Consider the following 25,647-nt stretch of genomic DNA (forward strand, 5'->3'; position numbering starts at 1 on the left):
TATGAAATTCCTACTAGAGACCGAATTTTACATTTTTATGGATATTATCTCATTTAATTCTCTAACAATTTATAAGGTAGCCAAAAAAGATATCACAATTTCCCCCACTTAACAGAGAAGGAAAATGACATTCAGAGAGGTTAGCTGCTTTGCCTATGTCACCAAGCAGCAAAGTCAGTACTGGAACACAGACCTCCTGGCTCCTAGTCTATCATGCTCTCACCATGATCCACAGAAGCAGTGCTTCCACTTGGAGCCACTACTCACATCCTGTTCTGGCTTCACAGCAGCCTACAAAAGCCCAAGAGAATATATAAAGAACAAGAATGTTCTGGTTCTGTTCCAGAATGATAGGACCTCTAGGAGAAGAGAAGATATAATACCTTTATATCCTCATGTCTGGCCTAATGTTTAAAACTTAGTATTTTCATCATCAAGCTGTTGAGAATTTTTGGCTACAGTTTATTCCTCAGCAATGACTTCTATAGCATTCTTAATAAGAACCTGCTTTTACACATCCAGAAAGCGGGCCAAAAAAATTCCTCATAAGCCTACCTGGAGAACTCTTGTCTCTAGTTTTCAGCCAATTATCTCCCCAGGTTCAGTGCTAGTTAAGGTCAACTAGTTCAAGGGCAACGAGTTCATGCCCATCTTTTTACCCCATTTAACTCACCTTTACCATTAAGATAAAAACATCCAAGAAAGGTAAACAAATGTCTGGCAGAGTGGAGAACAAAGGATGATGTGAAGGGGAGATGCACCCAAGAAGTAAAAGAAGCAGGGAGACTAGCCTGGAAAGGACACTGTAGGATGGTCTAAACATCAGAGCAGGAGATAAGATGACTGGCTCTTGTTTGGCCTCTTCCATGAGCTCACTTTGTGATCTTAAGTAAATTCAATTCCTCTCCAGACTCGTTTCCTCCTCTTGTAAAATAAAGGGCCTGGACTAGATGACCTCTGGAGTTGCCACAAACTCTGACATTTTTATTAGGTTAGAAACAGAAAGGAAGTATAAGGGATCATTCACACCAGGACTTGACTTTGAGGAGGTCCAAGGAAGGACACTGACCAACAGCTCTCTTGACTAACGGGATAGATAATCATAATGCCCATGTCAGAGAAATAAAACAAAAGACTCTGAAAACAGCCTGCTCCAAACCCAGGACACCAGTACCACAGTAAAACCCATATTCATTCTGAGACTGGCCTCTTGCCCAAATAAATTTTCTATCTTGCCGATAAAAAGGGTATAGAAATACATAATGAAAGCAAATGCCATGGTTTTGGTATGCTCTGTGGTTCAGAGAGTCTGGTGGCTCCATATTTAAAAGAGAAAACATTCCAGAGCAAAAGCTTCTTCGACCTGGAATAGTTTGCTTCAAAGTGATCACGCCAGTGGGTGATGGAAAAGTGGAGAGAGGGCAGACTCTCCATTGCAGAGACTATCTTACCTGAGGTACTGAGGCTTCCTGATGTGAGTTTTCTCTGCCGGTTGTCCTGATAATGTAACAGGTGGGACCATAAGGCTGATTTCCCCTGGAACCAATGCAAGGGAGAAACACCTATCAGTTTAGATTTCAGGGGTCAAGGCTTTCAACATACAGATAGAAGCTTTTGCTAAAAAAATATATGTACTGTTTCTTGTTTCAATGTACATCCAGGACACAGTGTATGCAAATATATCAATTTACTAAAATCCAGAAGAAATATAAACAATGGAAGGTAACAGAAAAAGGAAAGGGTCCCCTACTGGGAATAGAAAGGAGATGGGAAAGAGAGCCTGGTAAGGGACCAGTGGATAAGAAAGAAAAAAGCAGCTGGGCACGGTGGCTCACACCTGTAATCCCAACACTTCAGGAAGCCGAGGCGGGCAGATCACTTGAGGTCAGGAGTTCGATTCCAGCCTGGCCAACATGGTGAAACCCTGTCTCTACTAAAAATACACAAATTAGCAGGATGTGGTGGTGCATGGCTATAATCCCAGCTACTCAGGAGGCAGGAGAATCACTTGAACCCGGGAGGCAGAGGTTGCAGTGAGCCTAGATCGCACCATTGCACTCCAGCCTGGGCGACAGGGTGAGACGCCGTCTCAAAAAAAAAAAAACAAAAAAGAAAGAAAGAAAAAAGCAGGCCAGGCACAGTGTCTCACACCTGTAATCCCAACCCCAACACTGGGAGGCCAAGGCGGGCGGATCACTTGAGGTCAGAAGTTCGGGACCAGCCTAGCCAACACAGCAAAACCCTTACTAAAAATACAAAAATTAGCCGGGAGTGGTGGCACACGCCTGCTGTCCCAGCTACTCGGGAGGCTGAGGCAAGAGGATCACTCGAACCGAACCTGGGAGGTGGAGGGAGTTGAACCTGGGGGGCAGAGGTTGCAGTGAGCCAGGATCATGCCGCTGCACTCCAGCCTGGGTGACAGAATGAGGCTCCCTCTCAAAAAAAAAAAAAAAAAAAAAAAAAAGAAGCAAATGACCTATCATCCTCTAAATGGTCTGCTGGTTTTATGTCAGCTTGATGGCTTTTGCACAGAGGAGTGGATATCCAGCCTATAAGCTTCCATCTTAGCTCCTGAATTTCCTAAAATATTTAAAGTTATTCCTTTAAATATTGTTCTAGTCCTGATTTTGCTACTTGGTGAACTAGGCAAAGCAGTTTGGTGAACTTCTCTGAATGTCAGTTTCCTTCTCTGTTAAGTGGGGGAAACTGTGGTATCTTTGGCTACCTTATAAGTTGTTAGTGCAGGCCAGGGAGAGTAAGTCATCACTATAACAAGGATTTACTATTGAAGGTATAGTTGAAGAAATGTGCAGAAAGGTAGGCTGGTACTTAACTGCATGGCTGAAATAAACTACAGTCAATATAATAGAACCTTGGCGTTTGGAAAGGTAAGAACTGCACTTTAAACCATTTGAGATATGTAGCAATTTGTCATTTTGCCAAGGCACAAACCTGAATAGTATTTGCAAGCCTGATGTGAGGGAGTAATTCACCTGGGTAATGAGTGAGCCCAGCTGGTCACCCAGCAACTGCTTTGTCTCTTTCTAATCATCGTTCAGTACATCATAACCCTTGTTAAGTGATAACTTTATTTCAGATTCATGGTAAATGTTCCCATGCAGATAATAAAATAATATAAAGGTGGTATGTTTGTTTTAGTAAGATTACAATAATTTTATAAATGACTTTGGTTCTATAATAATGATAGAAGCTACCAGGTCTTGAGGCTTACTATGAACTAAGCACTATGTCAGATGTTCAAAATACAATATTTTAATTAATGCTCCCAACAGTCTAATAAGGTAGATATCTCTATCCCTATTTTCTGTAGAGAAGAAGAAATTGAGGATCGGAAAGGTTAAGTTAACTTGTAAGAGGTCACACCGTTAGTAAGCAGAGTGTTGGGATTCAAGCTTAAGTCTATCTAATGTCAAAACCATTGCTCTTAATAACTATGCTACACGAGATGCTTCTGAAAAGATCATTTAACTTTTTAAGTTATACTTTCTGAGGAAAATTTTGTGCTATGGAATTAATGTGAAGATTTAAGGTCTTAAGATATACCCCATGAGAATACTGAGGGTCTATTTTGTTTCTATTCACAAACTTGATCTACTCTGGGGAAAAAAAAAAACAAACATCTGAATGGTAGGAAACCCTCGCTATAGATCAGCAAGCTGTCAAAATAAGCTTGCTGTATGTTTGTACTTCCTACAAAATTCATAAACTTAAAACCCAACAACTTCAAAGACAATTTTTAAAATATATAAAAACTAAAATTAGAAAATACCAGGTTTTATTCATCCAAATAACAAATATTTGAAAAAAAAAATGTCTAACAACATTAATGAGACTTACAAATCCTATACTAACTGCTTCTAAGAAGGTCTATTGTTTCCTGTTGGGAGCCAAAAAGAAAAAAAAATTTTAATTTAAAAAACTTAAAAAAAAAAAGAAGGTTGACTGGGCGCAGTGGCTCACATCTGTAACCCCAGCACTTTGGGAGGCCGAGGTGGGTGGACCACCTGAAGTCAGGAGTTCGAGACCAACCTGGCCAACAGGAGGAAACCCCATCTCTACTAAAATACAAAAATTAGGCGCGCATGGTGACAGGCACCTGTAATCCCAGCTACTCAGGAGGCTGAGGCAGGAGAACTGCTTGAACCCAGGAGGCAGAGATTGCAGTGAGTCAAGATGGCACTACTGCACTCCAGCCTGGGCAACAGGGTGAGACTCCATTTAAAAAAAAAAAAAGGTCTATTAATGTATCTAACAGATAATATAAGAGCTTAAAATATTTATGGTCTTTGACTTAGTAATTCAACTTCTAGAAATCCATTCATCCTTCCATCTACCACAACCATTAGAAAGTAGGCTCCCCAGCATCTAGGCAGACTAGGAAAGCAGCCTAAGATAAATTAATAGAACTGTCTGAATGTGGCACACATTAAGTACAGCTGGTGACCAGAGAGCCTGACATGCAATAACACTAAAGAGCCAAGGACAAGGGCAAAATCAGGCCACTATACCAGAAGAAGGAAGCCCCTGGCTCACAATGTTTACAGAGGTGAGGAGAAAGAGCAAGGGCAGGAGTGGAAGAGCAGCAGCTGGGCTGCTCTTTGGTCTTTCTAGTTCAAGAGACATGGCCTACTCTTTTTCCTCTTTTGCAAAGGGTCTGATTGGGATTGCAAGGTTCAATACAGCCTGACTATCCATTTATGGACATGGACACACAATAAACTGCATCAGATTCTACAAGAATGTCATAAGCAAGAAAGATAAGTAACAACTCCTTTTCATGTGTCAACCCTAAATGGCAGCAGTTACAAAACCAGTATGAAAAACCAAACCTCTATCTGATAGAAAAACATACTATAGGTGGAAGCCCATCTCCTTGGAAGATGTCACTGAAAGCCAAAGAGAGTGGTGAGGATAACAGAGGTTCTTATGAAGACTTGCTGCAGGCAGCCTTACATCCAAGCAGTCAAGGCTAGTAACAAAATTTAAGAGGCCAGCAGCAAAAATGCTGTTTGGGTTCTCTCTACTTTCTGAGCAGATAATAATGGGCGGTTGCTTAGGAAGGTACCCCCACAAGGGCATAATAAAATCACCCTCTGAGAGCAAATTTAGTCACAATCTGGGTGTATGATAAAGGACAGCAGGTAACCAGGGTGTGACCGCTGGATTGGAAGATAACTGAAGAATGTCTCAGCAGGATAAAGCCAGCAAAATGGAGGCCTAGGGAGAACATGGTGTTAGGAACCCAACATAGATCATCAGGGTCAATCTCCAGCTGAACACGTATCCCTAAGAGCATTAACGCCATGCCAGCAAGAACAGATCCTCACTCTCCTCTGGTGACACTGTCACTGCTTCACTTCCAGAGCTCCAAAAGCCAGGACTCAGAACAAAATGGAACCTCAACTAAAAAGCCCCCATTATTTTGCACTGGTTTCTCACCAAACAAGCAGCCTAACTCTCCAAAATAAGAGGGGGCTCAAATGAACTCTAAAAGAAATTCCAGTCTGGCCAACATGGTGAAACCCCACTTCTGCTAAAAATACAAAAAAATTAGCCGGACGTGGTGGCCTGAGCCTGTAATCCCAGCTACTCGTGAGGCTGAGGCAGGGGAACTGCTTGAACCAGGGAGGTGGAGGTTGCAGTGAGCCAAGATCGCGCCATTGCACTCCAGCCTGGGCAACAGAGCGAGACTCCGTCTCAAAAAAAAAAAAAAAAGATACAAAAATTAGCCAGGCATTGTGGTGCGGAGCTGTAGTCCCAGCTACTTGGCAGGCTGAGGTGGGAGAATCACTTGAACTCAGGATGTGGAGGTTGCAGTGAGCTGAGATCATACCACTGCACTCCAGGCTGTGTGACAGAGCGAGACTCTCGAAGGAAAGAGAGAAGGGGAGGGGAGGGAAAGGGGAAGGAGGGAAGGAGGGACAGAGGGATGGAAGGATGGATGGAAGGAAGGAAGGAAGGAAGGAAGGAAGGAAGGAAGGAAGATATTCTTACTGTGAGAATTCCTGCAGAATAATAAATTCCTCCTATGGTGAGAATTACTGCAGAATACAGTAGAACACAGACTTAGAACATATAATGATACGATACTATTTTTCAAAATACAGGAAGAAGCTTCACTAACTCCCTAGAAATTTTTGCAGTAAATATTTAAAAGTTTTCAGCATATATGTTTTACCTCAAAGCTAAAAGAGCTCAACTATAGTGCCAGGCTTGCTAAATGTTATGGAAAATGATAAAAGGATTATATGTATTCTACTCACTTATTATAGAGAAAAAGAAACAAACCCTTCCATACAGAACCCAGCATAATAATAGCTGTCATATGTTGGATACTTATCACACGCCAGGTATTTCCTTTCATTGCCTCTAATGATCACAGCTGAAAGATATTTATTTAATTCTTTTAACTTTTATTTTAGGTTCAGGGGCACACATGCAAGTTTGTTATATAGGTAAACTGCGTATCACAGGGGTCTGGTGTACAGATTACTTCATTATTCATGTAATAAGCCTCGTACCCCACAGGTAGTTTTTCAGTCCTCTCCCTCCTCCCACTCTCCACTCTCAAGCAGGCCTTGGTGCCTGTTGTTCCCTTCTTTGTGTCCATGGGTATTCAATGTTTAGCTCCCACTTATAAGTGAGAACAAGCAGTATTTGGTTTTCTGTTCCTATATGAGTTCACTTAGGACTATGGTCTCCAGCTGCATCCATGTTGCTACAAAGGCCATGATCTAGTTCTTTTTTATGGCTGTGTAGTGTTGTATGGTGTGTATGTATCACCTTTTCTTTATCTGGTCTACCGTTGATGGCCATTTAGGTTGATCATAACTTTGCCATTGTGAATAGTGCTGCAATGAACATACACGTGCATATGTCTTTATGGTAGAACAATTAATATTCTGAAAGACAGGTTTTTATTAACTATCTATCTTTCATGGATTTGGATTTCAGAAAGTGCAAGTTGCTTATTTAAAGTCATCCAGTGGAGCCAGGATTCAAACCCAAGTCTTTCTGACTCACAGTTCATAGTGTTGCTACTACACCAGTCTCAAAATTTTAGGAATGCAATACACAATTTTTAACATTTAAAAAACTATAAATGCAGTGTTGTTTACAATACTGAAAAATCAGAATTAACCTAAATGACTAATAATAAGAGATTGATTAAAGTATGGCACATCTATACAACAGATGTAGTCATTAAAACTGAGATTTTACAATAACCACAAACATCCAAAGAGCCAGAAACCAGGCTCTGAGCTTAGTGCTTTACATTAATTATCGAATCCACACAAGGACCCAATGGATGTGGGTACTTTTAAAATTCCATCAGGCAGGGAACAGTGGCTTTTGCCTGTGATCCCAGCAGTTTGGGGGGCTGAGGCAGGAGGATCACTTGAGCCCAGGAGTTTGAGACCAGCCAGGACAACATAGGGAGACCTCATCTCTACAAAAAAAAAAAATAGCTGGGCATGGTGCCACACACCTGTAGTCTCAGTCTCCAAGAGTCTCCAAGCTGAGGTGGGAGACTCAGTTGAGCACAGGAGGTCAAGGCTGCAGTGAGCAGAGATCATGCTAGTGCACTCCAGCCTGGGCAACAAAGCAAGATGCTGTCTCAAAAATTAAATTAAATTAAATTAATATAAAATAAAATAAAATTCCATCATACATATAAGGAAACAGGCTTAGAGAAGCTAGGTAACTTGCTTAGTTTCATAAAGTTATTAAGTGGAAATCATACTTCAAACCCAGATCTGTCTGTTTTACAGTCAAGCTCTTAAACACTTACTATACTATCATCTAAAAATTAGTTAAGGACATAGAAAAGATATGAGATAAAAACAAAGCAAGTTGCAAAGCATTACATACAGTATTAACTCATTTGGATTTTTTAAAAAACCACTTCATTGAGATATAATTCATATTACCATAAAATTCACACTTTTAAAGTATGCAATTTTCTGAACAAAAAAATCTGGTTTTTAGTATAGAGTTGTGCAATCATCACCACTATCTAATTCTAGAACATTTTCATCACCCCCAAAAGACACTCCATATGCATTAGTAGTCACTTCCCATTGCTCCCTTCCTCTAGCCTCTGGCAACCCTTAATCTACTTTCTGTCTGTGGATTTGCCTATTTTAGACATTTTGTATAAATGAGATCACACAATCTGTGGCCTTTTGTGTCTGGCTTCTTTCACTTAGTATGTTTTCAGAGTTCATCCATGTTGTACCACATGTAGGTACTTTATTCCCTTTATTGCTCAATAATATTCCAATGTATTATACCAAATTTAGGTCACCCACTCATCAGCTGATAAATATCTGGGTCATAATAGCCACATAAGATGACACTATTATGACTAATGCTGCTATGAACTTTTTTTTCTTTTTTTTTTTTTTTTGAGACAGAGTTTCACTCTTGTTGCCTAGGCTGGAGTGCAATGGTGCAATCTTGGCTCACTGCAACCTCTGCCTCCTGGGTTCAAGCGATCCTCCTGCCTCAGCCTCCCAAGCAGCTGGGATTACAGGCATGCACCACCACCTGGCTAATTTTGTATTTTTGGTAGAGACGGGGTTTCACCATGTTGATCAAGCTGGTCTCAAACTCCTGACCTCAAGTGATCCACCTGTCTTGGCCTCCCAAAGTGCTGGGATTACAGGTGTGAGCCACTGCGCCTGGCCTGCTATGAACATTTGTATACAAGTTTTTGTGTAGACATATGTTTTCACTTATCTTGAGTATGTATCTAGAAGTGGGCTTGCTAGGTCATATAAGAACTGTTTAACATTTTGAGGAACTGCCAGACTGTTTTCCAAAGTGGCTGCACCATTTTACATTCCCATCAGCAATGTATGAAAGTTCCCATTTCTCCACATCCTTAACACTTGTTACTTATTTTAACTACTCCAGTGGATGTGAAATAGTATCTCATTGTGGTTCCACTGGGTTTTTAAATATACAGCTATATACGCATGGGCATATGTACACAGAAGAATGCTCTGAAGAACATGTGTGGAAGATTGTTGCTATACCCATTAGAATGACACAGGAAGGCAAGAGATCTTGGTCTGTTTTGTTCACTGAGGTATTTCTAGTGCCTACAACAGTACCTGACATAGTAGGCCCTTGAGAAATACCAATGGATACTAATATGTATTTTCTAATTTTTCCATGATAAAACTTCTTTTCAAAAAATTTCAAGTTATTTTCAAATTTAAAAATACATAAAAATAAAAGGTATCTATCTTGACTACCAATTGAAAACAGAGTATTTTGAAATAAGGAAATTCTCTGGGTATTAAGTGGAAAAATCAAACTTACTCAACTTCCTGAGGCCTTCTCTCAAATGTTTAGTTAAACCATCTGCATACAAAAGAAATGTTAATGACAGACTTTTTTTCCACTGTGAATATATGATTAGTGAAGAACCTTTAGTGTATGACTGGTACTTCCTGAGCTCCAACTTCTCTCTTTCTGGTCTATCTCTAGACTAGGGCCAGCTGCCAAACAGGACCTATCAGGTTGGCCTTCAGCTCTACCCCCAGGAAGAAAGATGCCTCTTTTTAAAAGTCTGACAAACACACAGATTTATAAAGCCTATCTTTAAGGAAAATAGTTTGGATCACATTTATTTAATTGTTTATTTCAAATCTCACTCCAGGGCACTGTGCACCATTCTTCAAAGCCAGTCAGCTGGACAAAAAGAGTGTGGGAAAGCTAGTAACTGAAAACAGGAAGACAATTTGCTCAGCAATGAGAGGCAAGACATACATTACCTGTTTCACTTGTAGTCCATGACTCCAGATCCTTTCCAGGAGATCACAAAGGCTGGCAATCAGGGTGTTCTCTTCCACCCCTGTGATGTTCACCTCCCCATGCCCTAGCTCCACAGCTTCTCGGCCCATCTTTTCCACCAGCATCCTCTTGGTCTACAAGGAAGCAGTCAACAGGATTAAATAACCACAGTGAGCAGGATTACATACAACCGGAGAGGGTTCTGACAGCCTGCACAGTACATCTGTTGGGCTGGGAAGGACAGGATGAATTAGCCCCAAGGACACAGAATATATTTATACCCATGTAGGTCAGGTTACAAGGGAGTGCATGCTTTAAAAATTTAGTTAAGAAAGGCCAGGTGTGGTAGCTCACACCTGTAATCCCAGCACTCTGGGAGGCCTAGTTGGGCGGATCACAAGGTCAGGAGATCGAGACCATCCTGGCTAACACGGTGAAACCCCGTCTCTATTAAAAATACAAAAAAATTAGCCAGGTGTGGTGGCGGGCGCCTGTGGTCCCAGCTACTCAGGAGGCTGAAGCAGGAGAATGGCGTCAACCAAGGAAGCGTAGCTTGCAGCAAGCTGAGATCGCGCCACTGCACTCCAGCCTGGGCAACAGAGCGAGACTCCGTCTCAAAAAAAAAAAAATATGTAGTTAAGGAAAGGATAAGAACACAGCAATCTTTATGACTCCTGGCCAGTGATTTCATCACTCTGTATTCAGTTTTTGCATTTATGCAAGAAACAAATAAACCCTTCAGTCATGCTTATCTCTGACATTGTCTGATTCCCACTGCTTAAATGACCCTACCAAACAAACCTTTGAGCATACATACAACTTAGAAACATATCTGAAATAACTGTCAAGGGGACAAAAATTGAGGAGGTAATTTATTTTACATAAAAATTTTCAACTGCTTATTGTAAGATCATAACCAAGAAAACACATACTGCATAATGATAATCACAGTTTTTATTAAGTACTATGTCAGGCATTGTACTTAGCATTTCATTATCTCATTTAAGCCTCCTAACAATCTGAGGTAACTATTATTATTGTTCCCAATTTACCAATACGGAAATTGAGAAATACAGTAATCAATATACTAAATTTAAACATAGTATAAAACAATATAGTATATTTATAGTCTAAGTATAGTTTAATTCTCTTAAGTAACTTGCCCAAAATCTATACGTAATATAGCACTCTATTAAATTATATATATATATATATTGTCCAAAATGAAACAGCAAAGTAGCAATAGATCTGGCCTTTGAACCCATATCTGCCTGAACTTTGAGTCCAAGTTCAAAAGTAAGATTTAACTATGCTATAAATTTGTGATATATAAAAATCTAAGAAAAGGAAAACAAATCACCCCAATCCTACTTTTCAGAAGCAACAACTCTTAATATTTTGGCATATTTCTTTCCACTGTTAGTTTTTAACCTTCTTATTGTGAAATATATAATATATATATGCTATTACATCATTATGACCAGCGCCAGGCCAGTTCCTTCTTTTTTTTTTTTTTTTTTTTTTGAGATGGAGTTTCGCTCTTGTTGCCCAGGCTGGAGTGCAATGGCACAATCTCGGCTCACTGCAACCTCCGCCTCCCCGGTTCAAGCAAATTCTCCAGCCTCAGCCTCCCGAGTAGCTGGGATTACAGGCATGCACCACCACGCCTGGCTAATTTTGTATTTTTAGTAGAGATGGGGTTTCTCCATGTTGGTCAGGCTGGTCTCAAACTCCCGACCTCAAGTGATCTGCCCACCTCAGCCTCCCAAAGTGCTGGGATTACAGGCATGAGCCACTGCGCCTGGCCAGTATTTTATTTATAAATACTGTCTGTTTATATCTTTGAAGCACCCTACGTGCCCTCTTCCATTCACCTTCCCACTCTAGAAGTGACCACTTACCCAACGAAACTACAGAAAAGCAAGAAAATTATTACCTATATTTTTAACCCTAAAATATATGGTTTGGTTTGCCTGTATGTATCTTTAAGACAGGGTCTCTCTCTGTTGCCTAGACTGGAGTGCAGTGGCTCGATCATGGTTCACGTAGCCTCAGCTTCCCAGATTCAACTGATCATCCCACCTCAGCCCCCGCAGTAGCTGGGACTATAGGCATGCATGTTTCTTTTGTGATTTTTTTTTTTTTTTTTTCTTTAAGAAACTGGGTCTCAGCATGTTGCCCTGGCTGGAACCGAACTCCCAGGCTCAAGCAATCCCCCCACCTCAGCCTCCCAAGTAGCTGGGATCACAGGTGTGTGCTGATACTCCTGGCTTCTGATTTGCTTTTTCACTCGTTTATATTTGTGAAATTCATCCACACTGATGTGTATAACTGTTATCCATTTCCATTGTTGTATAGCATTCCACCACATGAATACACCACAATATACTTATTAATTCTCTTACTGATTGGCTTTCTCAACTGATTGGTTGTTTCCAGTTTGGGGCTATTAAAAGAATGCTGCTGTAAACTTCTTGTACATATCTCTTGGGACATGCTCCAAAAGTTTCTCTAGGGAATATACCTAGGAGAAGAATTACTAAACAATACTATGCTGTTTTCCAAAATCATCATACCAATTTATACTTTCAACAGCCTGTTGCCTCACGTGCAAGCCAATACTTTGTGATGTTACATTGATTACTATATTTCTTCAATTCTAGATGTATATTTTCCCACATATTAACATGTCTAAAATTGATATGTATTTCACAGTCATCATTGGCTAGGAATAGGAAGTTGTCACAGCCAGGTCATGCATCTCATGACTTAAGAATTTTGACAGTCCAGGCCAGTTGTGCAGTGCCTCAAACCTGTAATCCCAGCACTTTGGAGGCCGAGGCAGACAGATCACTTGAGGTCAGGAGTTCAATACCAGCCTGGTCAATATGATGAAACCCTGTCTCTACTAAAAATACAAAAATTAGCCAAGCATGGTGGTGCACTCCTGTAATCCCAGCCACTCGGGAGGCTAAGGCACGAGAATTGCTTGAACCTGGGAGGCAGAGGTTGCAGTGAGCCGAGATTGTGTCACTGTACTCCAGCCTGGGTGACACAGTGAGACTCCATCTCAAAAAAAAAAAAAAAAAGAATGACAGTCCAGCAGCTTAGAAAAAAAAAATGCAGAAATGCAGCATCACCAATGTTCTTCATAGTAGAAAGGCAGAAGAGACAAAATTGTATGGAAAAAAAAATCACAGATATTAATTACTCAGAGTGAACTGACAGAAGTTTTACACAAACACACACACACACTGGCCACAATGCCTGGCCAGAGTTTTTTTTAACCTAAATTTAAAATATCAGTACTGATATATTAATCAGGTTTTTTTTTTTTTTTTTTTTTTTTTTTTTTTTTGAGAGAGGGTCTCATTCTGCAGCCTTGACCTCCAGGGCTCAAATGATCCTCCTACCTCAGCCCACCAAAGTAGCTGGGACTAAAGGTGTGCACCACCACGCCTAATTTTTTTTTTTTTTTTTTTTTTTTTTTTTTTTTTTTTTAGTAGAGATGAGGTTTTGCCATGTTGCTTAGCCTGGCCTCAAACTTCTGGGCTCGAGTGATTCACCCACCTCAATCTCCCAAAGTGCCAGGATTACAGGCATGAGCCGCTGTGCCCTGCCAATCTAGCTTTAAACAGTAATAATTTATTCTGCAAGAGACAGCATATTTTATTCCCTCCTATAAATGAACATCACTTCAAATGGGCACCACTTAGAACTGAAAGTGCAGGAGACTATTTTTATTCCATTGATAAATAAATAGGATGTAGTAGAGACTGAGTTAGTTGAAATGCCCTAAAATTATGGTATGCTGCCTTGGTTGAAAGATTCTTTTTATTAGAAAAGACATTTAAATTCATAATTAAAACATTAAAAATTAAGAATGAATGTCTTTGTAGAACAGAGAAAAACACCCAAACAATCTAAGCTTAAACGGAATGACACATTTTAGCCTGGCACATAGTAGGTACCCAGTAAATTTCTGTTTCTAGATATAAGATATCATTGCTATCAGATAAAAATAAAGGGGAAAAAATATCTGCAAATACATAAGACTAATCTGTTGAAGTAAGTTAGAGTGAAGACTAGTCTGATTTAAAGTACTGTAAAATGTCAAAAATTTAAAACTATGCCTGTAACCCCAGCTACTCAGGAAGCTGAGGTAGGAGGTTCACTTAAGCCCAGGACTTCAAGGCGAGCCTGGGCAATATAGTGAGATCCTGTCTTTAAAAAAGTTTTTTATTAAATTAAAAACTACATCTCTCTGTTGTTCTTTTTTTTGTTTTGAGATGGAGTCTTGCCCTGTCGCCCAGGCTGGAGTGCAATGGCGCGATCTCGGCTCACTGCAACCTCCGCCTCCCGGGTTCAAGAGATTCTCCTGCCTCAGTCTCCCAAGTAGCTGGGATTACAGGTGCATGCCACCACGCCCGGCTAAATTTTTTGTGTCTTTAGTAGAGACGGGGTTTTACCATGTTGGCCAGGCTGGTCTTGAACTCCTGACCTCGTGATCTGCCTGCCTCAGCCTCCCAAAGTGCTGGGATTACAGGTGTGAGCCACTGCGCCCAGCTTGTTGTTCATTTTTATAGAGTATACATTAAGTTTTTATCAAGCAAAGCATGCATGCTCTCAATTAATGGTATATTTTATTTAAAACAAATATACCTAATTTCAAATTAACAGGATCTTAAAATTAGTACTGTCTCATTATATTAACGATTTTTTTTTTAAGACAGAGTCTCGCTCTGTTGCCCAGGCAGGAGTGCAGTGGTGCCATCATAGCTCACTGTAGCCTTGACTTCCCAGGTTCAAGCAATCCTCCCACTTCAACCTCCCAAGTATCTGGGACTACAGGTGTGTGCCACCATGCCCATCTTAATACTTTTGTAAAGACAGGATCTCACTACGTTCTCCAAGTTGGTCTTGAACTCCTGGGCTCAAGCAATCCTCCTGCCATGGTCTCCCAAAGTGTTGGGATTACAGGCATGAGCCATCACGCCCAGCCAACAGTATTTTTAAAATCCAGAGGGAGTGGTCAGAGCCAATCCTTGGTCTTACCTTGGCTGCTAACAGAAATAGCACACATACAGAGATGTCCACAGCTTACCTTATTGCGGCATTCCTTCAGCAGGCCCTCTACAAACTTCCAATTGGTCTGGGCAATCACTGATGGAGAGAGGTTGGACAGTTTGGGCTGGCGGATAGTGCTGCCCATAGTCCTGGCTTCCTGGATGTACTTCTATATCAAACAGAAAAATAAAGACCCTTTGTGTCCATGTACATAAACCAAAGGTCAGCAGTACTGGTGGGTGCCTGAAGAGGGCATTATTTTCTCACATTTTCTTTTTTTTTCTTTTTCTTTTTTTTTTTGAGACGAATCTTGCTCTGTCGCCAGGCTGGAGTGCAGTGGTGTGATCTCAGCTCGCTGCAACCTCCACCTCCCAGGCTCAGGCAATCCTCCTGCCTCAGCCTCCTGAGTGGCTGGGACTACAGGCATGTGCCACCACGCCCGGCTAATTTTTTGTATTTTAGTAGAGACGGGGTTTCACCATGTTAGCCAGGATGGTCTTTATCTCCTGACCTGGTGATCCATCTGCCTCAGTCTCCCAAAGTACTGAGATTACAGGCATGAGCCACCGTGCCCAGCTTATTTTCTCGCACTTTCTTAGCTGCCTCTTTCTAGGCTCAGATAGTTAGGAATAGAAAATTTTTAATTTAATTCTTGTATTAAAGAGAAAAACTGAGATGATGGTTTCTGTTTTAGCTGATGTAAAGCACTCCCCAAATGGTATAATTACCTTTGATTTAAAGATACAAGAGTCAGGCAAGGCGCAGTGGCTCACGCCTGTAATCCCAGCACTTTGGGAGGCTGAGGTGGGTGGATCACAAGGTCAGGAGTTCAAGACCAGCCTGGCCAACACAGTGAAACTCCATCTTTACTAAAAATATAAAAATTAGCCAAGTGTGGTGGTGCATGCCTGTAATCCCAGCTACTCAGGAGGCTGAGGCAGGAGAATTGCTTGAACCCGGGAGGTGGAGGTTGTGGTGAGCTGAGATCGCGCCACTGCACTCTAGCCTGGGCGACAGAGCGAGACTCCATCACAAAAAATAAATAAATAAATAAAAATTTAAAAAATTAAATTAAAAAAAGATACAAGAGTCAAAAAACACATGACTACAGCAAATCTCAAATCTCTGAGTAACACTGAGAAAATAATTTCCCCCACCAAGCTGAGAAGAATTTAACTCCTCTGCCCGTATCAAAGATATCTACCCTTTCTATCATAAAGTATAAAATTAAGGCCTGGAAAATAAGATTGCACACTCAAAACAACAACTGCAATTATTTTGTATAATGTGCTGGTGATTCTTCTTCATATGTTGTTTAACACAGAACCCACATCAATGCAGTAAAATGCAATCTGATATCCTCTCAGTAGGTTCATAACCAACATTTTTACCCTAAACTTCTCCCTTCCCCCATATTTATTCCAGTGGCATAACTCTGTCCATTCTATCTTATGGCCCCTTAATCTATCTCTACTACCAACCCCCCAAGGTTAGGGTCCAATTACTATTACTTGGACTGCTGTTACCTGTCTCCTAACTTGTTAGCTATCTCCATACCACCCTCCTCCAAAATATTCTGCCCACAGCCTCCTTTACACATTTACACACCAAACTTTAGATCCTGCCATGTCCTCTACTTGAAATGCTCTTCTTATAGCTCCAGGGAGATGAAAGATTAAAAAAAAAAAAAAAAAGAAAAAGAAAAACAGCCAGGAGCAGTGACTCTGGCCTGTAATCCCAGCACTGAGGCGAGTGGATCACTTGAGCTCAGAAGTTTGAGACCATCCTGGGCAACATGAAGAAACCCTGTCTCTACCAAAAATACAAAAAAGACCAAAACAACAACAACAAACAATTAGCCAGGAATGGTGGCGTGTGCCTGTGGTCCCAGCTACTAGAGAGGCTGAGGTGGGAGGATCACCTGAGCCTTGGAGGCAGAGGTTGCAGTGAGCCAAGGTTACACCATTGCACTCCAACCTGGGTGACAGAGTAAGACCCCATTTCAAAATAAAATAAAAGCTCTTCTAACAATCCCATCATTCTCTAAGGCTTAAAGAGATGCTTGCTCCTCTTCCAAATCATCTTGTTTGATGATGACCCCAAGTAGAAGTAACCTCTGCTTTCTCTAATCAGTAATCAAACATTGGTTTGCTCCTCATATGGTCATTTCAAAAGCTTATTCTCTTGAAGTTATCTTTCTATCTGATTTTGCTCCCTTATATCAACTGGTATTCCCTGAGGACAAGACTAACCTCTTTTGTCACCTTTGTATTTCAAAGTGTTAACCTCAGTGATTTTTTTTTTTTTTGTCTTTAGCAAAGAATTCCTTGATACCTCAGTGATATGGTTTGGCTGTGACCCCATCCAAATCTCATCTTGAATTGTAGCTCCTACAATTCCCACATGTTGTGGGAGGGACCCAGTGGGAGGTAACTGAGTCACGGGGGTAGATCTTTCCTGAGCTGTTCTCGTGATAGTGCATAAGTCTCATGAGATCTGATGGTTTTATAAGGGGGAATTTCCCTGCACAAGCTCTCTCTTTGCCCACTGCCATCCACGTTAAGACGTGACTTGCTCCCTCCTTGCTGTCCACCATGATTGTGAAGCCTCCCCAGCCATGTGGAACTGTGAGTCCATTAAATCTTTCTTTTGTAAATTGCCCAGTCTTGTGTATGTCCTTTATCAGCAACATGAAAACAGACTAATACACTCAGTGATTCTGACCAAGAAAATGTGGTCAATAAACACTGCTGAAAATAGTAATGAGGAGGTTAGGTGGAAGACAGACTTTTAAAATAACACAAATAACCAAAATTTCTTATGCTACTCTCACAAAAAAAAAAATCCCAGTGCAACTGTATCCTATAAATCAGCAGTTGAAGATTCATAACCATATCTTACAATTTTAATTTATTCATTAAAAACATAGCAAAGGGAGAATATGTTATTTATTTTCCAATTCACTGAGCTGCCAGACACATGAAAACAGTATGCCTTCTTGGGTTCTCTCTGTGCAAGATGAAAATTACAGGGTCTTTTCTCAAAGATAAGTTACTGAAATAGGCTTCTGAAGTTAACACTCATTTTCACAACTTCTTTGCAACTAAGTAAGGCAGGGTCTACAACCTGAAGTTTATAACTAGAAACTTAAGAAGCAAGTTACAGTAGAGCTGAGAAACTCAGCTTACAAGCAATGAAGATTCAGGAGGTAAATTCAAGAATCTTGGGTTTCCAGGTACCTGATAATAATGTTCCTCTCCTTTAGTCTTTTAAAGAAGAAGAAGAAAAAAAAAGTCAAGATTATCTGTTTCAATTTAAGGTAAGAAACAGTAGGAAAAAAACTCTAACAAAATTAACTTCTTTCTGGGCTGGGCGCAGTAGCTCACACCTATAATCCCAGCACTTTGCGGGGATGAGGCAGGCGGATTACCTGAGGTCAGGTGTTTGAGACCAGCCTGGCCAACGTGGTGAAACCCCGTCTCTACTAAAAATACAGAAATTATCTGCGCGTTGAGGTGGTGCCTGTAATTCCAGCTACTCAAGAGGCTGAGGCAGGGGAATTGCTTGAACCCAGGAGATGGAGGCTGCAGTGAGCCGAGATCGCTCCACTGCACTCCAGCCTGGGCGATAAAAGCGAGACTCTGTCTCAAACAAAAAAAGAATTAAAAAAAATTAACTTTTTTCCTATATACACACGCACACACACACACACACACACACACACACACACAAAACTCACACCAATTTTTAAAGGATTTCTCCCAAGTTTCAGACTCTTAACTTCTGAGGTTCCTATTGAACTCCTCAGGGAGCATCATGCATGAGAAATTACAATCGGTTAGTAGCTAGCTGGAATTTGCAAAACATCCCACATTCTGATTTGTGATAACCCAGGCCCAGCATTAGATATCAGGAACTAGACCTATTATTAACCCTTCTTTATGGGGTGAGGTCATTGCTGAGACGTTTGAATCAGACCAGAGAACAGGAAATGAGAAAGAGAAGGAGTGCACAGCATGATAGCAAGGTCATCCTTATCATTCTTAAGGTATCTTACCTCCCTCTGGTCATTATCTAAACGCAGGTGTTCTGTGTGCTGCTTCTGCCGATCTTTCCGCCTCCACTGGGCAGGGGCATTCCTTTTCGTCCACCTAACACAATCAGAACCAAAGCAGGCAATTAATAATGTCTCACTTAAAAAGCAATGTCAACTAACAGGAGAAAACATGAATGACTACGAGTCAATGCTGGACACAGGAAATGACCTAGATGTCACCAGAGACAGCTCAGAGACCTTGAGGAAGAGCAGATTAAAGATGAGTGACTGGACATGAGAGAGACACCTCCTCATGGAACATGTCTCTCTTGAAACATCTACAAACACTTGACATATAGATCTAAAACTATATTCACTTAACTCTATCTGGGCTTTGATACAGTCATCTTCAAAAGTAACTAATGAGTAATTCTGCTAACTTACCTACTTTTCAGTTCAGGTTCTGATTATTTCAACTGCCATTTATTAAATACAATGCTAGCTTGCTGTTGAATGGGATCCAGGCATGAGATGATTTTAACCCATCTGCAGCTTTTTGCAGGTCCTAGACATATGGAGCTATCCCAATCTGCATAGTGGAGGCAGAACTGAAAGATATTCTGTCACATACTTTCTTGTTCAAATAAGCAAACCACCTAGATAGTCTGGGTCTTCTCCATATCTGCTTTAGAAAAGTACAAGGTCTTCTAGGGGTAACAGCCCTAGCCCAGATACTAGATGACCCTATTACAGCTAGGGAGTTGGATTAGTGAATCCCTGGGGTTGACTCACTTGTTGCTGGCTGGCCCAGTGGAAAGTACATCAGACTGCAGCTTAGGGAAGAAGCCCGGCTCATATTTCCCTTGTCCAATCTTCATGTCAAGTAAATGTGGGTGAATTGCAGTATGGTCAATTTTTGCCAGACGCAGCTCAATTGCTTTCTCTGGATGAGAATACACACACACACACACACACACACACACATAAATACACACACAAATAAATCAAGTCAAACATTCTTTAAGAATCTAGCTACTCTTCCATTTCCAGCCAAGATAGAGTAAAAGGGACTGATTTTCCTGCCTAATAGGAAAAAACCCATGCAAAATAATATAAAATGATAAACTTCAGAATACTGGACATCAGGCAATGAAGGGCAGGACCCTGAGAAACAGGTAACAAATGAGGTAACCCCTAGAACTATCCCAGCTAACTGCTTAGAGAAAGCTTCCAGGCTGTGGCACAGGGAGGGGAGTTCTAGGCAGAGACTGGTGGACTCCCTGAGTTAAGGAGACCAAGGTGGCTAGAGTTCATATGAACAGTACCAGAGAAGAGAGAGAATCCAGGGGATCTGCAGGGCATTCAGCAGGGTAATGGGTCAGTTCACGCAAGTAAAGAAACTACTCAAGGCTGGAGAAAGAATCACCGGAAAGGATTAGGAGAAACAATACAAAATGCTCACACAGGGCTGGGAATAATGCCTGTCCCCACCTGCCAGACTAGAAAACCTAATCACTCATGGGGCACTGAGTAAAGTACTCAGAGGGTCTTGCCTCAGTAGTAGATAATTAATCACAGCCTAAAGGATGCTCTGGTCCTGCCAGAGGAAAGCACAAAGAAATCAAATTATTTCTAAGTAACTTAACTACATCCCAGAACAAAGACTGAGAATATTTATAGGAATATGGAAGTGTCCAGGACTCAAATAGTAAAATTCACAGTGTCTGGCATCTAATCAAAGATTACCAGGGCCTGATAGCTTACGCCTGTAATCCCAGCACTCTGGGAGGCCAAAGTGAGGGTATCATTTAAGGCCAGGACTTCAAGACCAGCCTGGGCAACATAGTGAGACCTCATCTCTTCAAAAAAAAAAAAAAAATGAGCCAGACATGGTGGCATACACCTTTATTCCTAGCTATTCAGGAGGCCAAGGCCAGAAGATCACTTGAGCCCAGGAGTTTAAGGTTATGGTGAGCTATAATTACACTACCGCACTCCAGCCTGGGCAACAAAGCAGAACCTCTTAAAAACAAACAAACAAACAACATCAACAACAAAAAACTAGAAACATGGAACTCAAACTTCTGAAGATGAAAGCTGTAATATCTGAGATGAAAAATACACGGGCTGGGTTAAAAGCACACTCAACAATGCAGGAGAAAAAATAAGTGAGCTTGAAGCCATAGCAAGAGAAATGATCCCAAAGAAGCCACAGAGAGAGAGAAAAAACTGTTGCCATTAAAAGAGTATCAGCGGTTCTGGGATAACTACGCAATCCCAGATATTACATGTATGTGTAACTGCAGTCCCTAAGGTAGGGATGGGGAGAACAGAAAAATTACTAGAAGAAATACTGGCCAGAATTTTTACAAATTTGACGTAAACAAAAAATCCACAGATCTAAAAAGCACAATGAGCTGCAAGCACAAGAATCATGAAGGAAACTACACCAAGCCACATCATAATCAAATTGCTCAAAATCAGTGATAAAAAGAAAATCTTAAAATCTGGTAGAGAAAGTAGACATTTTGTATATAGAGAAGATCAAAATTAAGGATGACAGCAGATTTCTTATCAGAAAACAATGGAAGTGTAATATGGTTTGGCTCCATGTCCGCACCCAAATCTCAACTTGAACTGTAATAATCCCCATGTGTGGTGGGAGGGACCCAGTGGGAGGTAACTGAATCACAGGGGCGGTTTCCCTCATGCTATTCTCGCGATAGTGAGTGAGTTCTCATAGATGTGATGGTTTCATAAGCATCTGGCATTTGCCCTCCTGGTACTCATTCTCTCTCCTGCTGTGCTGTGAAGAGGTGCCTTCCACCATGCTTGTAAGTTTCTTGAGGCATTCCCAGCCATGCGGAACTGAGTCAATTAAACCTCTTTCCTTTACAAATTACCCAGTCTTGGGTATTTCTTCATAGCAGCATGAGAATAAACTAATTATAAAGTGAGAAGACAGAGGAGCGACATCTTTTTTTTATTTTTATTTTTTTGAGACAGGGTCTCATTCTGTCGCCCGGGCTAGAGTGCTGTGGTGTGATCTTGGCTCACTACAACCTCCACCTTCCGGGTTCAAGCAATTCTTGTGCCTCAGCCTCCTGAGTAGCTTGGACTACAAGCACGTACTATCATGCCTGGCTAATTTTTTTTTTTTTTTATATGTTTAGTAGCAACGGGGTTTCACCATGTTGGCCAGGCTGGTCTCAAACTCCTGACCTCAAGTGTTCTGCCCACCTCAGACTCCCAAAGTGCTGGGATTACAGGAGTGAGCCACCGCGCCTGGCCTGGAGCAACATCTTTAGAGTACTGAAAGGAAAAAGCTATTAACCTATACTCAGGGAAAATACCTTTCAAAGACAAAAGAATTACAAAAGCTGAAAGAATTCATCACCAGCAGATCTACACTACAAGAAATGTTAAAGGAAGTCCTTCTGGCAGTAGGAAAATAATGCCAGATGGAAGTATGGATCTACAGAAAAGAAAGAAGAGCACCAGAAATGCTAACTACACAGTTAATGTATTAGATTTTGTACTTATTATTCAAATCCCTTTAAAAGGTAATTGACTGTTTAAACAAAAATGACCATGTAGTGTTAGGTTTATGACATATGTAAAAGTAAAATAGATGACAATAGCACGTCGGCTAGGAAGAGAGAAATGGAAATAGAGTTTTGTGAAGTTCTTTTTGTTGTTGTTTAGAGACAGGGTCTCATCATGTGATCCAAGTTGGACTCAAACTCCTGGGCTCAGGCAACCCTCCCCCTTCAGCTTACCAAACAGCTGGGAGTATGGGTGCACATGACTGTGCCTGGCAGTTCTGTACAGTTCTTATACTATGTGGAAAGTGATATTGTATCACCTAAAAGTAGACTGTGATAAGTTAAATGTGTACTATAAATCCTAAAGCAACTGCTAAAATAACACAAGTTATAGCTAGTAAACCAACAAAGTAGATAAAATGAAATCATAAAAAAAATTGAAAGGCCGGGTGCAGTGGCTCACGCCTGTAATCCCAGCACTTTGGGAGGCCGAGGCGGGCGGATCACGAGGTCAGGAGATCAAGAGATCAAGACCACGGTGAAACCCCGTCTCTACTAAAAATACAAAAAATTAGCTGGGCTGCGCAGTGGCGAGCGCCTGTAGTCCCAGCTACTCGGGAGGCTGAGGCAGGAGAATGGCGTGAACCCGGAAGGCAGAAGTTGCAGTGAGCCTAGATCTCGCCACTGCACTCCAGCCTGGGCGATAGAGCAAGACTCCGTCTCAAAAAAAAAAAAAAAAAAAAAAAAAAAGAAAAAAAAATTGAAAATATTCAATTAGTACACAAGAGGGCAGAAAAAGAAGAAAAGGGAACAAAGAACAGATGGGACAAATAGAAAACAAACAGCAAAATGACAGGCTTAAACCCAGCAATATCAATAATCATATTAAATGTACATGGTCTGAAGACCTCAGTTAAAAACCGGAAACTGTCAAATTGGATAAAAATGCAAAACCCAATTACATGCTGCCTACAATAAATACCCTTTAAATATAAAGACACAAATAGATTAAAAGTAAAATAATGACAAAGATATGCCCTGTTAGCACTAGTCAAAAGAAAGCTGGAGTAGTTATTAATATCAGACAAAACAGATTTCACAGTAAAGAATATTACTCTGAATAAAGAAGGTTATTTCTTTTTTTTTTTTTTTTAGAAAAAAAAATTAAAAATTAGCCAGGCATGGCGGCACACATCTACTGTCCTAGCTACTTGAGAAGCTAAGACGAGAGGATCCCTTCAGCCCACTAGTTCAAAGTTACAGAAAACCACGGCCACACCACTGCACTCTAGCCTGAGCAACAGAGCGAGACCCCATCAACATTAAAACAACAACAAAAAAAATCAATATAATTCACCATATTAACAAACTAAAGCTAAAAACCATATAATTACCTTGATAGATACAGAAAAAGCATTTGACAAAATTCAACATCCACCTCAGATAAAAACGCTGAACAAACTAGTAAGATCCTTAACTGCTAAAGGTTATCTATGAAAAACAAAGGAATAAGATGCCCACTCTCACCACTTCTATTTGACTTCGTACTAGAGGTTCAAGCCAGTGTAATACAGAAAAAAAATAAATAAATAAGAAGAAGAAGAAAAAGAAAAGGAAAAGAAATAAAAGGTATCCAGGGTGGTGGAAAGGAAAAGTAAAACTATCATTATTCACAGGTAATATGACTGTCTATGTAGAAAATCTGATGGATGTACAAAAAAGCTATTAAAAGTTAGTTTAGTATGGTTGCAGGACACAATATAAACATACAAAATGCTATTATAGTTCTATATACTAGCAATGAACAATTAGAAATTAAAATTAAGAAAGCAATAAAATAGCACCAAATTTATATAACACAAAACAATTTAAAATAACACCAAAAAATATGAACTACTTAGGGAAAAATCTGATAAGACATATAAAACCTGTACCCTGAAAAGTACATAATGCTGTTGAGAAAAATTAAAGATGACCTAAATAAATGGAAAGATATGCCATGTTAATGGATCAGAAGACTCGGTACTGTTAGGATGTCAAATATCAATCAAAATCTTGAAAGGTTTCTTTGCAGAAGTTGGCAAGTTGACTCTAAATATGTATGGAAATACAAAGAACCCAGAATAGCCAAAACAACTTTGAAAAGAACAAAGTTACAAGATTAACACTACTTGATTTCAAGATTTAATATAAGCTACAGTAATCATTTAATGTAAGCTACAGTAATCAAGACAGTGTGGTATTGGTATAAATGTAGACCAACAGATCAATGAAACAGAACAGAGAATCCAGAAGTAGACGAACACATATACAGACTAATAACATTTTGACAAAAGCAAAAAGGCAATTCATTAGAGAAAGGATGGTCTTTTCAACAGATGAATATCTATATGAAAAAAAAATGGACGCATAACTTATACTACTTACAAAATTAACTTGAAATGGATCAGAGACTTGAACGTAAAACCTAAAACTATAAAACTTCTACAGGGAAATATAGGGTAAAATCTCTATGTGACCTTGGTAGGGCAAAAGTGTCTTAGATACAATAAAAGTATAATCCAACTGATAAATTGGGCCTCATCAAAATAAAAGATTTTGTTCTCAAAAAGACAATTAGGCACACACAAATCAAAATCACGTCTCCCTTACATTTTCTAGTCTTCTCTCTTTACCTTTCATTCCTGTTCCAGGACCCTCATTAAGATGACCTTTTGGCAAAGTCCTTTTGGCAAAGGCTTGAGGACAAGTTGTCCATGCAATTAGACTACTTTAACTCAGTTAGAACATAGGTTCCTGAACTAGAAAATGTAAGACTTTGAACTAGAAAATGCAAGACTTTGTCTAAACTGTCAGCAGTTATATCTTCAAAGCCTAGAAACAAGCCTGGCAAATTCATTCATCTGGCAAATATTTCTTGAAGACTTGCCATACATTTGGCATCTGGTAGGTAGTTATAAAATGCAGCAAATGAGTGACCAAAATATACAAAAATGCCTTAACAAGGACACTGAACATCCTGCAGGAAGTGAACACACTACTTAATCTAGTACTTCAAGCTGAAACCATTCTCTAGCTAAACTAATGTAGATGAGTCCTCTGAACAAAAGGACATGTTCAATCATTTGTGTAGATTATAACATCCCTACATGCTGGGTACAATGCCAGAAGAAT

The 25,647-nt window shown here is 40.3% G+C and overlaps 1 protein-coding gene across 5 annotated transcripts in view, besides 1 other annotated feature; it reads right to left on the minus strand.

The window, feature by feature from the left end:
* Positions 1–25,647, minus strand: part of DENND5A (DENN domain containing 5A) — a 126,526-nt gene that overhangs the window by 12,082 nt on the left and 88,797 nt on the right. For all 5 annotated transcript variants that reach the window (NR_145966.2, NM_001348749.2, NM_001243254.2 and 2 more), the window contains 5 exons: positions 19,721–19,871; positions 18,950–19,043; positions 14,930–15,061; positions 9,807–9,959; positions 1,452–1,536 (listed from right to left, as the gene is read on the minus strand). Coding sequence is in view for 4 of the 5 variants with exons in the window: in NM_001348749.2 (NP_001335678.1) it covers positions 1,452–1,536; positions 9,807–9,959; positions 14,930–15,061; positions 18,950–19,043; positions 19,721–19,871 (615 nt within the window). In the remaining variant the exon portion in view is untranslated. The remainder of the gene's footprint in view (positions 1–1,451; positions 1,537–9,806; positions 9,960–14,929; positions 15,062–18,949; positions 19,044–19,720; positions 19,872–25,647) is intronic.
* Positions 18,240–19,439: an enhancer, noted in NCBI's record as "CDK7 strongly-dependent group 2 enhancer chr11:9190693-9191892 (GRCh37/hg19 assembly coordinates)". NCBI's record gives its function as "activates an origin of replication core promoter dependent on BRD2, BRD4, P300/CBP, MED14 and CDK7 cofactors, with strong dependence on CDK7, by STARR-seq in HCT116 cells {active_cell/tissue: HCT116}" and the evidence as "EXISTENCE:reporter gene assay evidence [ECO:0000049][PMID:35650434]".

This window comes from Homo sapiens, chromosome 11 (assembly GCF_000001405.40).
Source record: "Homo sapiens chromosome 11, GRCh38.p14 Primary Assembly".
Lineage (NCBI taxonomy): Eukaryota > Metazoa > Chordata > Mammalia > Primates > Hominidae > Homo > Homo sapiens.